Below are 17,686 nucleotides of genomic sequence, written 5' to 3' on the forward strand. Positions count from 1 at the left end.
TAATAGCCATTTTTATCCTTAGCTTATCCTAGGTCTGAACTCAATGTATCTCCAGAAAACCCTGAAGATTACCACATTATTGACAATATGGAAGCACACAGACAAAATACATACATAACTTACATTTTTATGATTGACACATTTTAAGAGGACAAGTTCACGATAAGCTCTCTTTGCATGAGTTTGGTTCTGAAAAGGACGGCTTAGTTTCTTGACTGCAACATTTATCCCAAGAACTGTATCAAATGCAGCACTAGAATTAGGAAATATAATGCACAATCCATTAGAACGGTTTTGGAAAATACAGCAATGCCAGAATATACATTGAATATATCATCTTTTTAATAAGTAACAAGGAAAAATCTGCTTATTTCATTCAAGGTACTTGCACATATGAAGAGCAGAGTGAGTTGTCTAAGACTACAGCATGTACTAACTCCTTTGCAGAGGCACATTTCAGCCACAGTTAAGATGGGGTTCAGCAATCCTTCACACACCAAGGTTTCATAGTTTAGATTACATTCAAAACCAGGTAATTTAATATAGAGTGCATAAAACCAGTCAAGAAATGAAATCTTCAGTTTAAACATGACAAGAAGTTGGAAACAAAGTCACTGTTTCCTGTCTTAAAATGTGTATATTTTGGAATATCACAGTAGAGGAAATGGCTGAATTCATGAGGAGAATAAATCTAAATTTTGAATCACTGTGTTTTTTTCACAAATAACAGTATCTAAAAAGAAAAGAAGCCAAAATTTCAGCTCATGGTAAATGTTCAAGATACAAAATCTCTAACGTAAGCAACTGCTATATAAAGTTCTTTTAGAACTATCTCCTCCTACTACTATAGTAAGAATAAAATCTACAGGCTGTGTTTCCAGCATCTCGTTTCCTGTTGAAATTCTGTTCATTTTCCTCCAGAAAATAGACATGAAGAATCAAGTAGCCTGATTACACATTTTTAGGTTTCAAACTGGTACTAAATAGTATCATTTGTATTATCACCTCTGGGCTACTCATGAGGGCTAACAGCTACTAAAGGCCACCTGAGAACCTAAGCACTGATTTAAATACTGTTTCTATTTCTTTATTCCATTGAGTTTATAACATTGTTTACATTTATTCTCTTCTATTAATGCTTTTGCCAAACTCGAACCTAATTCAATCTGTTTTAAAGTTGAAGGCTATCTGTTGTAGCATTTGGTTAAGAAGCTACCTTACTTTAATTCAGTTCATATTATGTGTCTGTCTATATACATATGTAAATCCACAGGTTCATATGCAAATTGCACCATTTATATGAATTATAAAATGAGAAGGATATATCCACTTGTGAAACAAGTCATTGACATACATGTAGCCATGTATGTATTTATACCTATATACTTCTCAGACTCAAGAATTTGAAAATAGGCCAGGTGTGGTGGCTTATGCCTGTATTCCCAGCACTTTGGGAGGCCAAGGCAGGCAGATCGCTTGAGCCCAGGAGTTTGAGACCAGCCTGGGCAATACAGTGAAACCTTGTCTGTACAAAAAATACAAAGATTAGCTGAGTGTGGTGGTGCATGTCTGTAGACCCAGTTACTCAGGGGACTGAGGTGGGAGGACTGCTTGAGCCGGGGGTCGAGACTGCAGTGAGCACTGATCCCTCCACTGCACCCCAGCCTGGGTGACAGACTGAGACCCTGTTGCCCAGGGTCTCAAAAAAAAAAAAAAAGAAAAAGAAAAAGAAAAAAAGAATTTGAAAACAGACACACTTTTTTGGTATCAAAAGTTTTTGTCCAAAATTTCAGTTAGATAGGAGGAATAAGGTCAGGAGGTCTACTGTGAGATATGGTGACTGCAGTTAATAACAATGTATTGTATTCTTGAAAATTGATGAGAGTAGATTTGTTCTCATCAGAAACTTTTAAAAAGTATGTGAGGTAATGCATATGTTAATTCGCTCAATTTAGCTAGTCCATAATGTATACATATTTCAGAACAATATGCTGGACATGATAAATATATACAATTTTTATTTGTCATTTTAAAAAAGTTTTTGGCTAAAACAAGGCAAATGGACCAAGTCTAAGCATCTAAGTGGGCATAAGCTTCCCCACTTGTAGCTCAGCTCCATGAGGAACTACCTTCAGTTATTCCTGGTTGTGGTTATTGCGGTCACTCAAAGAATACATTGTTATCACTATCTCTTCATTTATCAGCTTTAGAAATGATTCACCTACTCCCCATTACGAAAACTGAGTATTTGGCCACTTCCTTGAAATCCCCAATCGCCAACACCTCCTATTTTTTTTGTTGTTCTGCTTTTTGGGTTTTCCCTGGTTACGTCTTTAAGTAACACCCCTAATCTTCACGCTTCTTCAACTCTGAAGGGAACGTCTTGACTTCTGCTTACGTAAAATGAGACTGTTCCATCCCTTTCTCCTCCATTTACCATATATTCATAACTAAGTCTTCTGTATTTCTTCTTTAGGATGTTTCTAGAAGTTGAAAATCAATACATGGAGTGTAGGTGTGTATGTGTACAATGTAAATATCACTAACGGCCAGAGTTGGGATTACATTTCATTTTCTAAAGATCACATGGCTCTTGCTGCCACTCATAAGAGGGTGAGACTATTTCCAGGATCAAGGACAAAGGATTCTCTTATATTTCATCAACTGCTCAAACATCATGTCCTCTTTGTTTCATAATTAGACCATGATTTTTTCTAGTTTTCCCCACACATTTCTAATAAATAATAGATTTTATTACATTCTAGATTATTATTAGTTTTTACTAATAAAAAATGCCAGTTTTAGCCTATCATTGACACATCTTAGCTTCTCACATTATCTGTTGTGTGGCACCTACTCCACATGATTTGCAGACACTCTTTAGCCTATCACTGGCACTTCCTAGCTTCTTACATTATTGTTGTCTGGCATCTCCTCCACATGATTTGCAGACACTCTTCTTGCAGCTTCCTTAAGACCTGCCATGCAGCCACCATCCTGGGATTTCTTTTCACAGTCCCCACTGCTTCTTGCATTACGCTCTTGTGTTGCCTCTCTTGCTGGAGTACATCCTCAAGGAATTTCCTCAGAAAAGGTGCATGGAAGATAGATGGTATTGCTCTGCCCCCACCCTTGATTGATAATAAGTTTTCTGAGTTTAAAATCAATTTTCTGTGAGAACTTTGAAGGCACTTTTCCACTGATTTCCACACTGAGTGCTGACAGTGAGGAGGCTTATGCCCGATACTGTACTGATTCCTTTGCTTCTTTTTTTGTTTCCCAGCTCAATGATTTATCAGTCATGTTCTCTCTGTATCCCAAAAGCTTCTCACACCCCCAACTAATTAGTGTCCCTCCTGTCCACCAGTGATAACTGCTTTGACATGTACAATAATCACTTTCTTGCTTTACCAGCTAAAGCATGCACCCTGGAGCTCCCAGTTTATTTTTGCCTGTTTTTTGAAATCTTCTGTGTCTGACTTCTGTGGCTCAATATTATGGGACTCATCCATTGTTGCTGTATGTAGCTATAACTCCTTCCATCATTGCTATAAGATTCCTTTGTATAACTATATCACATTACGTTGATAGATATTTCAGTTGTTTTTAGTTTTCAATCTATTACAGAACACACAGTCATCACCATTCCTGTACGCAGCTCCGGATCCCCTATGCATGTGTTTCTGATGAGTAGACAACTAAGAGTGGGAACGTATCCATTGTATTTCAGTAGATAATGTCAAACTCTTTGCCAGAGCGTTTCTACAAATTTGTACAGCTGCCAGCAGTGCACGAGGGGTCACATCTGAGAGCTGCCTCTGCGTGGTTCCAGTACACGAGGGGTCACATCTGAGAGCTGCCTCTGGGTGGTTCCACATCCTCACCAGCACTTGGTATCACCAACAGCTTAGTTTCTAACCATTCTGCTGAGTGTGGAATGGTATTTCGTCGCAGTTTTAAATTGCACTATCTTGATGAATAACGGCATTGAGCACTTTTCCTGTTTATAGGTTATTTGGGTATCCTCCTGTGACAACCTATTGACTATTTGTTTGTCTATCTTTATAATCTTCTTGACTGTTGTTCTTTACATATTCTGAACAAGAGATTTTTTTTCAGTCATATATCTTCTCACATCTATGCTTATCTTTTCAGTTTCTTGATCTTGGTTTTTTAAAATAAACAACATTTCTTAATTTTAATACAAAATTGATCAATCTTCTATGATAATTTTTTTTTTTCTTAAAGTGGAGATGGGGGGAGTCTCATTATGTTGGCCAGGCTGGTCTTGAACTCCTGGCCTCAAGCGATCCTCCCACCTTGGCCTCCCAAAGTGCTGGAATTATAGGCATGAGCCACCACATCCAGCAGATAAATGTTTTTTTATGTTGTGTTTAAAGGAGTCCTTCCCTACCCCAAAGATCATGAAGACATTCTCCTATATTATGTTCAAATAGCTTTACTGGCTTGCCTTATATATTTACAGCAATTCAACTGACATTCACTTTTGTGTATAATATGAGGTTGGGGTCAAATTTCACTTTTTTCTACATGAACATTCCTATGTCCATTTATTTAAAAGGCTAGCCTTTCCTCATTGCTCCACAGGCCACCACTGCCATAAGTCAGAAGCCCACACATGCATGACTCTGTTTCAGGGCTAGTCCACTGTTTCTCCTTGCACCACACGACACCAGCTTGATCACCAGTTTTATGGTAAGTCTTCACATCTCGCAGAGGGAGTGTTCCTCCCTTCTTAATGGGTGTCTTGACCATTCTAGGGTTTTTATTTTTACATATAAATTTTAAAATCAGTTTGTTCATTTCTTTGTTTTTTAAGACGACTGAGATTTGATTGCAATCACTCTAGACAAGTCTGAAAAATGACCTTCATGGTATTAAATATTCTAACTCTGAAAATCAGACATCCCACCACGATTTCAGTTTTCTCTATTTTTTCTAATTTTTTTAGCTTTTTGTATACAAGTCTTTCATATTGTTAGATTTTTCCTCCAGATATGATAATTTAAAAGTTTTTATCCTATTTTAAGTGGTATCCTTTTCAAATTTTCATTTTCTATATGCTGCTAGTATATAAATATGCAATTTTGCAGGGGGAGGGGTACATATACTGACCCTGCATCTTGCAAAAGGGCTAAACGTACTCATTAATTTAACAAAACGCAGATTATCCAGGTGGGCCTATTCTTATCACGAGAGCCCTTTAAAGGCAGAGTTTGCTCTGGCTCATGGAAAGGGTGGAAAATCAGGGAGATGTGAGTATGGGAAGGACTGGGCATGCCACTGCTGCCTTGAAGATGGAGGAGGTCACTTGAGAAGGAAAACATGCAGCCTCTGGGAGCAGACAGCAGCGCCTGACTGAAAGAGATCAAGAGATTGGGAACCACAGACCTAAAGCTGTAAGGAACTAGACTCTGCCAACAGGCTGAAGGAGCTTGGAAGCAGATACCCTTCCAGAACCTCCATCTGTGAGCTGAGCCCAGCCCAGTCGAAATCTTGACTTCAGCTTTGTGAGATGCTGGGCAAAGAACCCAGGCAAACCCACCCAGGTTTCTGACTATAGAACTATGAGATAATCAATAGGTGTTGTTTTAAACAACTAAGTTTGTGTTAATGTGTTATGCAGCAATAGAAAACTAACACCTTCTCTGTTTTGGGCTCTTCTACCATTTTTGCCTCTGCAGCTTTCATTCTGGATACTTTTTGCTGACCTCTCCTCCAGGTCACTAAATCTCTCTTCAGTTATATCTAGCATGCTGTTACACATATTAAATTCATAATTCAATTACTATAGTTTTTACTTCTAGAATTTTGATTTATTCCTCTTAAAAGAAGTTTTCATTTCTCCACCAAAACTTTTAATCTTGCCTTTATCACCTTGAACGTAATATCATAGCTATTTAAAAATGTGGATCTAATAATGCCAATATCTCCTATGGATCTGTTTCTTTTGTCTGCTGTTTCTGCAGGATTTTATTCATGTTGTCATATCTCCTTGTGTGCCTAGACTGGGCCTTGCACGTATAAAACTGTTTGCTATCTAGAAATAATTTTATCTAATATGATGCTGTCTTCTTCCACAAAGAATTTAAATTTATTTCTACTAGGTACCTGGGGGCACTAGCAATTTTTGTTTACCCCCATACAAGTTCAGCAAATGAGATGATAATCTGAAGCTGAGTGGCAGTGCCTATAAGGGCCAATCTCTGAGTTACCTTTACTTCTAGGAAGCAGCCTTTTATTGGTCCCAACACAAGTAAAAGAAGTTTGCCACACAATATTAGAGGGCCCTGGACTCTCATCCCTGTCTCCTAGCCACAGGGCAGTCCAAAACACTCTCTCAACAGCCCCTTCCAGAATTTTCAAATGCCCCCAAGGGAAAGACAGCCCCACATGCTGAAGCTCCCCTCACTAGGCTTCTGTGCTTCCCCAGATCCTGACCTAGTAACTCCTCACTAACTTACTAGCTCTCTAGGGGAAAATGCTGAGCATGGGGGACAGTGGGAATGTTGGCAGAAAACTGGCACAGCTGTTTCACAGGCACACTTTTAATTAACAGCCCTAGTTTTAGCCACTCATTTCATCTCTTCTTCATTGTCATCTCTATGCCCACAGCCTCTGTAGTTTTACTATAGCTAGGTTCTCTTCCTTACGCACATACTTCAGCTGCTTATTCTCACTTTATCTGCTGTTTTATCTGTATCACAAGATTCAAGCTACTTTCTATATTTCATAAATTTGTTAAAACTGTCTTCCACTTATTACTGCCCTCTTATCTTTGTACAGGTGTTCGGGCCACCATCTTAAATGAGAAGTTCCAAACCACTCATTTTACAGGTGAAAATATTGAGGCCCATAAAGAAACTGATTTGCCCTGCTCACAAAGAACTCTTCGCTGAGGAAAAGAGCTGGACTCAGAACTCAAGTCTTCTGAATCACAGCCATCCTGTGCCTCAAACCATGTCTCCTTTATCACAGAAATTTTGTTGTGAACATTGTTATGTTTTTATTTATTTATATTAATAGAAAATAAACCATGTTAAGAACAGGCCAGTACTCATGTTTATACAGAACTTGAGGACACAAAAAGGAACACGCTATACCAATTATTTCATGTTAAGGCTGTAACTGTTACTTCTAAGAACCGCCAGACTCAATATTGAACACTTTTTTAAAGGTTAAGCATTTCATAGAATGGTTTCGTAAAGCAAATAATCTTTACTATTTTGGCCAAACTTGAGATTTTTGAAGGAGAAAGAAAAACTGAATATATGTATGAAAGAAATGTACATACATTTTCTCCACTAGAGCTTCAAAATCTTACAATTATTTAATTGTACTATAACACAGTTGATATTTATGAATACTTCAAAATTATATTTTAAAACTTATTTTAGGCCAGGCGCGGTGGCTCATGCCTGCAATCCCAGCACTTTGGGAGGCCAAGGTGGGCAGATCACGAGATCAAGAGATGGAGACCATCCTGGCCAACATGGTGAAACCCCATCTCTACTAAAATACAAAAAATTAGCTGGGCGTGGTGGCGCACACCTGTAATCCCAGCTACTCGGGAGGCTGAGGCAGGAGAATCACTTGAACCCGCGAGGCGGAGGTTGCGGTGAGCCAAGATCACGCCACTGCACTCCACCTGGTGACAGAGCAAGACTCCGTCTCAAAAATAAAATAAAATATTTTAAAATTTAAAAACTTATTTCCTAATAAATTTTACTAACATATTTAAAGGAACAAAAACAAATAAACAAATCAAAGACAACTATAAAAACAATTCAAAATTAGGAACCAGAATATTTTCTTCTGGCTCCAGCTCTTCCATTTAATCCTGTACAGGTCACAGGCCCTACCTGCACGTTGGTTTATCTGCACACCTGCCCTTCATAAAGCTCTAATTTAAATAGAAGATTAACTAGTTGCATAAACCATACACTGTTGCTGTTATATTTCTCAAAAATGTAGAAATACACATGCTTGTGAATTAGTTTCCTATTGCTATTGTAACAAGTAACCACCAATTTACTGCTTTAAAGCCACACAAACTTACTATCTTACAGTTCTGGAGGTGAGAAGTCCAAAATGCATCTTATGCCTCAAGAGGTAAGCAGGGCTGCGTGGCTCCTTCTGCAGGCTCTGGGGGGAGTCTGCTCCCTGCCTCTCTCAGCTGGTTGGAGGCTTCCTGTATTGCTTGGCTGTGGCCCCACATCACTCCAAACTTCGCTCTGCCATCACATCTCTGACTATGACCTTCCTGTCTCCCTTTTGTAAGAAGGACCCACCCAACTAAACCTGGGATAACCCTCCCATCTCAAGACCATTAATGTAATCACACCGGCTAAATTCCTTTTGCCATGTAAAGAAATATACAAATTCCAGGGATTAGGACGTGGACATCTCAGGCGGGACCATTATTCTGCATGCTACACTCCCCAAAGAATCACTGACAGATGATTTTCAAGTACAATAGTGATGAAAGGAAGTTTCAGATCATCAATTAACTACATAATGCCAATATTTTAATACGAAATATGATAGAAAATCCAATTCCTCTTGTCAGTGTTAGCTAATCTACTGTTGAGCTTATTTTTGGAAAAGCAAGCTTTTTTTTCTTTTTTGAAACGGGAATGTGCCGTAACTAGATTATTTCCCAATTCTACTTGGTGCCTCATAGCCTGGTGAAGGATACAGAGAAAAGAGAAAGGTGAAAAGGAAGCGAAAATCACTTATAAAGTGTTTACTTTCCCTATTAGAACATAAGATAGAAGGATACCATAAAACTGAAAGTCAGTTATAGCTATAAAAATTGAAACTGTTCTTGAATGTAACAATTGTCTTATAGAGATAAATACAATTAAATGAAAATTGTTTAATAGGTGTTTAGTGAATATTTGTTCATTATTACTAAGATTCTAAACAGAAGGTGGGTCAGAGGCCTTGACCTATCAAAGTATCAGTGGTTCAAAGTCTTCAACAAGTCTCTCCGTGGTACAGGCAATAAGGTCCCAAAGGCCCACAGCTTGTTTTGGTCCCAGGCCTACCACTAACACCCCGTGAGACGGGAGAAGCAAGTGAGCCTTCCTAGTCCTTCGATTCACCACCAGTGAGGGTTATGGCAGAGCTCATGGTGATTCTACAATATACACTATTCACATTACTACCAACCTTCAAAAGCAAGTGAATGACATGCCAGCTGGGATAAATGAAGCACGTATTTAAAACAGCTACCTGTAGGCCGGGCGCAGTGGCTCATGCCTGTAATCCCAGCACTTTGGGAGGCCAAGGTGGGTGGATCATGAGGTCAAGAGATCGAGACCATCCTGGCCAACATGGGGAAACCCTGTCTCTACTAAAAATACAAAAATTAGCTGGGTGTGGTGGCGTGCGCCTGTAGTCCCAGCTACCGGGAGGCTGAGGCAGGAGAACTGCTTGAACCCAGGAGGCGGAGGCTACAGTGAGCTGAGATCGCGCCACTGCACTCCAGCCTGGTGACAAAGTGAGACTCTGTCTCAAAAAAATAAATAAATAAATAAAACAGCTACCTGTCTATAGCCACAAACAACTCCCCAAGACCTCCGACATTTCTCCCTTCTTGCCCCCTCTCTCCTTTTTCTCTCTCTCTCTCGCATGCACACATCAAATTATCTGTCAAATTATCATCTAATTCCAAATAGGAGATGGGTTATAAACCAAAAGAATGCTTTGTTGTTTATAACTTTCCATTACCATCAAAGTTTCCTAATTTGAACCATCCTCCACTAACTTTAAAACTTTTTTTTTTTTTTTTTTGAGACGGAGTCTTGCTCCATCGCCCAGGCTGGAGTGCAGTGGCGCGATCTTGGCTCACTGCAACCTCCATCTCCCAGGTTCAAGCGATTCTCTTGCCTCAGCCTCCCGAGTAGCTGGGACTACGGGTGTGTGCCACCACACCTGGCTAATTTCTGTATTTTTAGCAAAGACGGGGTTTCACCATGTTGGCCAGGATGGTCTCGATCTCTTGACCTCGTGATCTGCCCAGCTTGGCCTCCCAAAGTGCTGGGATTACAGGCGTGAGCCACCGTGCCCGGCCACCTTTAACACTTCTTCTGGCACACTGGATTTAAGTGCCGATACAGCATGTGTCATCAGGAAGTTAAGATCACCATTACTTTAGATGCAAGCTGGGCATTCCTTCCAAACAGTCCCTTTCCCGCCTTAGCTTCTCAAAGAAGCTCTGGACTGCAATTTCCTCTTAGCTCCCAGGGCCTTCAGCCGCCAGGGCTGAAAAAAACAACTGTTTCCCTGATCATAGGTCTCCGCAACAAAGGATCAGTTAAAAATCATCGTTAAAGATTCTCCAAACCCAACATCTCTACAAGGAAATGTAAACTACCCTACTAGAGCATCGAAAAGAGCTTTCTTCTCCCTCAACCCCCTCTGCCTACCAGCTGTAAACACGCGATGTTTAACTGCACCACGGTTTCTTTAGGCGCAAAGGTAATCCTGTTTTCATTGACCAAAAAAAAAGAAAAAGAAAAAGAAAAAAAAAAGTTCTGCCCAGAAAAATAAGGGGTAAAAAGTGTGGGAAGTGCTGATAGCTGCAGTCTAGGAAACATGTGAAGAGCTTTACCTTGAGCTGGCCCGTGATGCTGCGGCGGCTGACCGTCTTACCATGCAAGAGACTAACGTTCAGGGTCAGACTAACGATTCTGACGTTCTGGGCTGGACACACAGTTGAAGTGAGACACCAAGGAAGAGATGGCCAGCCCAACCCCTCACACAGCATCCCTTCCTGGTTAATCCATGGAGTGACAATGACACTGACTGGCCTCATCCTGCCAATGAATGGCAAGGCACTGCAATGATGGCGCCTGGAAATGAACAGGAGTGATCGGGAATAAAAGGGGAGGGGGGAAAAGGTGGCCATGATGAAGAAATGAATAAAACTCCAAATTTCTGTTACAACTCACTGTCATACCTACTACTCTGATATCATAATGACAGGAGAAATGAAAAAAAAAATGAAAGGAAAAAGAAACAAACAAAAAAGAAAACTTGCTACCTATTTAAATTCCTGCAGCATTCTAAGAATATGGGTTTGTACCCTACAGCCTGACTACACAGAACTAGAGCAAGCAGTTGATTCAATTTAGCTCATAAACCTATAACAGAGTTTTTTTTTTAATCATCAATGTTTCTAAATCCTGACACTTTAGTTTTACTTTTTATTACAGCAAAAACTCAATCCACGCTATTAAAACAGACCATACTTACCAAACAATCCCTTGGGCCCCAGAGCCAATTGGTTTCAGCTGCTGGTAACGTTTTAGGACAGTGAAGGTTGAGTCTGCCACTTGCACACTATAAAACTGACTGTCACATTTACTGTCGCTCATGATGCAGCGTCCTGCAATATCCCGAAGGGTGGGCAAGTTTCAGATCCCTTCAAAGAAAAACAGAATGAACGTGCATTCTTACCGGAAGTACATACGCAGCTCACGTAAGAGAGTTCTGAACTTATTGGTATGTAAGACAATGTGGCTGTAAGTTGATAAAGTCAATCTGACCAAGTTCTGAACTTAAGCAAGACACAAAAAAATGCAGACATTTCAGTGGTACCAGACCATTATGAAAGGAAGGAATTTTGAGGCCCAGCAAGACCACACTTTAAGGGGCTGGACTAGAAAATAACCACCTTTGGAGAAAAGAATGTATGCATTACTACTGGCTATGAAAAGACTACATCACTCTGTGCGTCTCATCAGCTTGCCCCCTGTGGGCAAGCTAGGTGTAAATGGTTCATTTACACCTAGCTGTCTAGAGACGGAGGCATTGTTTCAAAAATGATCACTTCTAGAATGCCTAAAGAGAAGCAAACGGACCAGTCTTCTGCTCAGTGTATAGATTCTGGTTGAAATGATGAACCAAAAAGCAAGATTCATACGCCAAAGTGACAGGCTGTCAGAGGCCTGGTGGCATCAGTGTGCTGCATGTGCCCAAGCACGTGCTCCTGCCTCAGGAGGTGGGTCCCAGAGCTGGCATCAGCTGGCACAGCCCCAGAGTCCCACATCACCACCGGACTTCAGGGTAGAGATCTGTATATGAAGAACTCTGCTGTGACTGACAGTCCATCATAGTAACACTAGGAAGTCTATCCACTATGTCTGAGTGTAGGCCAGCAGGCCCAGAAAGCAGCTTTTCTGTGGTTGAGGCACAGGCTGAGACTGCTGCTCTGCAGGAGCCTGGATGATTTTATACAGAAAACAAGCAAACAAATTGGCAAGTGGTTCCTAGGCTCGTGTCTGGTTATGCTTATTTAAAAGTCAGCAAGCTATTTATTTTGGTCTTTTAAAACTACATAGCCAACAATAAAATCATATAGGTAAACATTCTATACCGTTTAAGACTACAGAATGTATTCTACAGCTCTGTCAAATCCCTTGCCTTTATGTTCTAGTATCTAATATTTAACGTCAACCTAATGAGATTTTTGTGGTGATGATTTATATTTCAACACAAATGCTAGGATTTTCCTTAAACATGGAAAAAATGGATTAATAACAAGTCTAAATAAAGAACTGAGTCAAATTAATAATTTCTCCAAGTGACCACTGCCCCACGGTCTTCTCCCCGTCCTCTGGGTGGTGGCTGCAGTGTGGCTGCCACTCTGACCACTCCTGCCGAGGTGTGTTAGCGTGCCAGCCAGGGAGTGACTCCAGTGACGCCACAGCGCTTAGATGCTGGACAAACAGCTGCTCATACAACCCGCACCGCAGGAGTCTCAGTCCCGTGTTACCTGGGAGCAATCTAGGGCTGAGTGAGCTGGAACACCTGCCTAGCCCACACTGCTGTGAGAAGGGGACTCAGGAGCTCTCCAGGCTGGCAGGTCACTGTGCTCTAAGCTATAGGAGGTGCGAGGCAGGTCTGTCTTGCTCATGGCATCTCATACTCCAAGGACAGGAGGACAGGAAGCTGGTCTTTGGGGCACTGTGAGCATTCAATAAACCTTTGTTGATCTGATTCCCCACAGTGCTGCTCCATTTTACTGATATCTAAAGGAAGATCCTTTCTAAAGATTAGCTTATTTACAGTTTGCAAGAGGCTGAAACAATTCCACTCAACATTTAGGGGGTACCTTTATGCACGAAAGTGGTAAGTATAGCAAAAGATATGCCATAGTCAGCTAGCAACCAGTCTTGAAACAACATGTACTTCACTATTTGGGGGAGAAGCGCGAGCAGTGAGTCCATTATCTATATTACAAGTCACAGTGCGGTAAGGGCCATAAGCACAATGTAAACAAAATCAAAAGGCAAAAGAGATCCTACCCACTGGCAGGGGCAGAAGACAAGGACGGCTTCAAGGAGGAGGCGGCATCCGCCCTCAGACTCTTTTGCCAGAGATGGACAGTAGAGCCACAGAGCTCAAACTGACTGTGTCCAGACACAGCGAACTGCTGAGCTTGGCTAGCGGGGTACAAGTGCAAAGGATTAGAGACAACTCAGCAAAAAGGCAGGCACCCACTACCACCTGCTTTACGGAGGGTGGCTGTTCCTCTGCTATGCCGTCAACACACCAGCAACACAGTTACTTGCAAGCATGTACTGAGCACCCGCTGTGGATGGTGAGGTACCATGCCAGGACACTCGCCTGCCCTCAGTGAGCGCACACTCAGGAGGAGGCCCTGCACACCAAGGGTCCTAAACCCAGTAGGGTGAAGAAGATTTGGGGGAATGGGAGGAGAAGCAGCAGAGGCGGAGGCACATTCGGAATGTGACAAGTCACTAGGGACTTGCTGGGTAGAGGGCGAGTGAAGCTGGAGAGAGAAAAGGAGGCCAGATCACTATGAGCCCCAGAAGCCACGCAGAGCCGTCTGGCCTCAGTCCTGAGGGCTGTGGAAGCCGTCAAAACATCAGAGGTGCGACACAGGCGCTGAGGTGCTCCAGGATCCATCCCTCCCTTCCTCGCTTTCATAAGAGAAGCCTTCCTTCCCCTTCCTGCTAGATAAATGGCTGCCCAACTAGAGACGACGCCTGGCAGCTTTCCCAGCAGCCAGGTATGGCCAGATGACCAAGTTCTGACTAATAAGATGTGGGTAGAAGTGATGTATGCAACTTCCAGATCACTTTTATTTTTCTTTACAGAAAGCTGCTTGCCCTCCAATCTTTCTTCCTTGCTGCTGGCTGAGGGATCAGCTGTCACAGACCCAGAGATGGAAGTCACATGCTGTAGATGGAAAGCTGCCCACCAGCTGGATTCCTTAACTACCTCATGGCACAGAGCCACCCCCCATTCAGGACCCCGTGTCCACGTTGGGACTGACAGATCAATCTCAACCCTGCTGACCAACTCTGCAACTCTCCCTGCTATAACTGCTTTCAACCTATATTTGGACTATGACAATATTAGGTTAACTTTTTTAAATTTGGGGAGTATATTCACTCATATTAGGTTTTAGAATTGTAATTCCATCTCAAGATTTAAAATAGTCCGGGCATGGTGGCTCACACCTGTAATCCCAGCACTTTGGGAGGCCAACGTGGGGGAATCACTTGAGGTCAGGAGTTTGAGAACAGCCTGGCCAACATGGTGAAGCCCCATCTCTACTAAAAATACAAAAATTAGCCGGGTGTGGTAGTGCGTGCCTGTAATCCCAGCTACTTGGGAGGCTGATGCAGGAGAATCATTTGAACCGGGAGGTGGAGATTGCAGTGAGCTGAGATCGTGCCACTCCAGCCTGGGCCACAGCGAGACTCCATCTCAAAAACAAACAAACAAAAAGATTTAAAATAATTATAAAATTAAAATAAGGTACCCTTATTATGCAGGAGAAAAAAGTCACCTAAGTGAAAACCTGTTAAAGCCACCTTCTCTGTCAAGTTTGGGCTTTGTGAGAGCAAGAGAAAGAAACTTAAGGCCACCTGAGAAGGTGTGTAATTTAGCTATTCATGAGTCAACTCTATTGAGATGATATTTCAACAAAATGGACCATCAACTGGGGCTCAGAAAACAGTTTTACAAATCGGGAAGTACAAGAATTCTTCATGAAACCACATTAGCAATACACTAAAGCCTGCATTCGCTGCCTCCACTTCCCACACCAGCCGGTGCTGGTTCCTCCCCCTCAGCTCCCAGGCTGTGCTGCCACCATCCGTCCAGCACAGGGCTCCCTCCTTGCCACTTGTGCACTCAGCAGCGCCCGCCAGGCTGCACTGTCACAGCCTTTGTAGGGTCTGCCTCCCTTCCAGGCTATGAGCAACTCAAAACTGGGAGGGAACGCTACAAGGAGGTTTCCTGGAGGAGGCAAGACCTGAGCTCAAGTTTGTTCACAGTATCGACCGAGGCATGAGGAAACAGGCACTTTCATACACGTCAGTGAGAGCTGAGAAGTGGTAAAACATTTTTTTAGATGGAATATAGATCTGGCTAATAAAAATGTTAACTGCATATCCTAAACTGGCAAACACAATTCTCTAAGTGTATCTGACAAATACGTGTACAAGTATCCAAACATATTTGTGCAAGCATGTTTGTAACACTTCTTGTAACAGGCAAAAAACTAGAAGTAATCTAAAATGCACACTGTGGATGGACTGAATAAATTATGGCACAGAAGTACAACAAGGCCATTCAACAGAATGCAAGGACTTTATGTATCAATGTGGAAAGATGTCTAAGATACAGAAAGGAAATACACCAAGTTGAAGAAGAGAACACATAATGCCCAGCTACGTAAACACACACACACGCATACACACGCACATACACAATGCTGGCAAGTAGAGAAATAGTGGGAAATGAGAAACTTTCTTCCCATTATAACTTTCTATTCTGTTTTTCAAATGTACATATTTCACATTTAAAAACTGATTAAACAACACATGTTAAATGAAAAGCTGCAGAATGATCATTTGACACTTGTATGGAAGACGGGCTTCAGGCAGATAAGGCTAGAGGCATGAGAGTGGGCCTGGCTCTGAGGTACACATTTATCAACACCCTTATAACAACTAGTGAGAAGCATATTACTATCCCCGCTCTGCAAATGAGGAAACTGAGGCTTAGAGGAAGTTGTCCAGTAAGGAAGTTGTCCAAATTCCCAGCATGGCTCAGATTTGAATTTAGGAGTGTTTCACCACAATATTCAAGTTCCTCCCAAAGCACCATTCTGATATCCCTTTAGAAAGTGAAGCTATTTGCACATGGGCTGGCCAGGACCAGCACACAGTCCTGCACATTTCACCTTGCTGACTCCCCCTACCAAAACCTACCAAAACACTTTTTCCTCTAACGATGACAACGATTCAGTGATCCACAGACTCAAGTGAACCTTTCATCACACTAAAGCTTCAGAGTACCCAGGACATGCGATATTTAAATCAACTAACTATTGTGATTAAAAGCAGATTCTCACAATCACCCTCTGTCTCAATGCTTGCTGCCGACATTTTTTTCATTAAATTGTTCTGTTTTCCAGCTGGGCAAGATGGCTCACACTTGTAATCCCAGCACTGTGGGAGGCCGAAGGTGGGAGGATCACTTAAGCCCAAGAGTTCCAGACCAGCCTGGGCAACATGGTGAGGCTTCAACTCTATATTAAACAATAATAATAATAATAATAGTAAAAATCTGGCCGGGTGCGGTGGCTCACACCTGTAATCCCAGCACTTTGGGAGGCTGTGGCGTGTGGATCACGAGGTCAGGAGACGGAGACCATCCTGGCTAACATGGTGAAACTCCGTCTCTACTAAAAAAATACAAAAAATTAGCCGGGTGTGGTGGCGGGCGCCTGTAGTCCCAGCTACTAGGGAGGCTGAGGCAGGAGAATGGCGTGAACCTGGGAGGCGGAGCTTGCAGTGAGCCAAGATCACACCATTGCACTCCAGCCTGGGCGACAGAGCGAGACTCCGTCTCAAAAAAAAAAAAATAGTAAAAATTTAAAAAGTTCTATTTTCCTACTGTAATTCTTTATTCTTTCTTTTCTTTTTTTTTTTTTTTGAGACGGAGTCTCGCTCTGTCGCCCAGGCTGGAGTGCAGTGGCATGATCTCGGCTCACTGCAAGCTCCGCCTCCCAGGTTCACGCCATTCTCCTGCCTCAGCCTCCCAAGTAGCTGGGACTACAGGCGCCCGCCAGCACACCCAGCTAATTTTTGTATTTTTAGTAGAGATGGGGTTTCACTGTGTTAGCCAGGATGGTCTCGATCTCCTGACCTTATGATCCGCCCGCCTCAGCCTCCCAAAGTGCTGGGATTACAGGCGTGAGCCACCGCGCCTGGCCTCCTACTGTAATTCTTATGAAGAATAGCTTGGTATAACAACGTAATCTTTCTTTGATAATCAAGAACCTTGCAGCTCTCAGGGCCATCCTCTGTAGTTCTTAAGCCACAGTATATACCACAATACAGAACAACTAGCATTTGGTTATCACTTCACCCACTGTTGGATCCATAGGACCCTGCAAGGATCTCCGTCACCAGCCCCACTTCCAGGCACCCAGGCCTGCCTATTTCCCTCTCAATCCCCCACTCCCAGGGCCCTGGGTAAGGGCTTCTCGTGGCTCCTTGGACCAGCGACAGCAGAAGCATTCTCCCAGCCACCATTTCTGTGACTTCCGAACCACTGCACACATGCCACTTTAGAAAGAGAAATCACTCCACGTGAGAATATGTACACAAAT

The 17,686-nt window shown here is 42.3% G+C and overlaps 1 protein-coding gene across 15 annotated transcripts in view; it reads right to left on the reverse strand.

Moving 5' to 3' along the window:
* Positions 1 to 17,686, reverse strand: part of MAPK9 (mitogen-activated protein kinase 9) — a 58,941-nt gene that overhangs the window by 36,014 nt on the left and 5,241 nt on the right. For 11 of the 15 annotated variants that reach the window (NM_002752.5, NM_139070.3, NM_001364608.2 and 8 more), the window contains 2 exons: positions 11,284 to 11,452; positions 124 to 253 (listed from right to left, as the gene is read on the reverse strand). In NM_002752.5, coding sequence (NP_002743.3) covers positions 124 to 253; positions 11,284 to 11,405 — 252 coding nt within the window. In that variant the 5' untranslated portion in view covers positions 11,406 to 11,452. Of the gene's footprint in view, positions 1 to 123; positions 254 to 8,080; positions 8,706 to 10,639; positions 10,881 to 11,283; positions 11,453 to 17,686 lie in introns of those variants that run through there. The other 4 variants (NM_001364613.2, NM_001364611.2, NM_001364612.2 and 1 more) reach the window with 2 other exon arrangements.

Source organism: Homo sapiens, chromosome 5, assembly GCF_000001405.40.
Source record: "Homo sapiens chromosome 5, GRCh38.p14 Primary Assembly".
NCBI classification, from domain to species: Eukaryota; Metazoa; Chordata; class Mammalia; order Primates; family Hominidae; genus Homo; species Homo sapiens.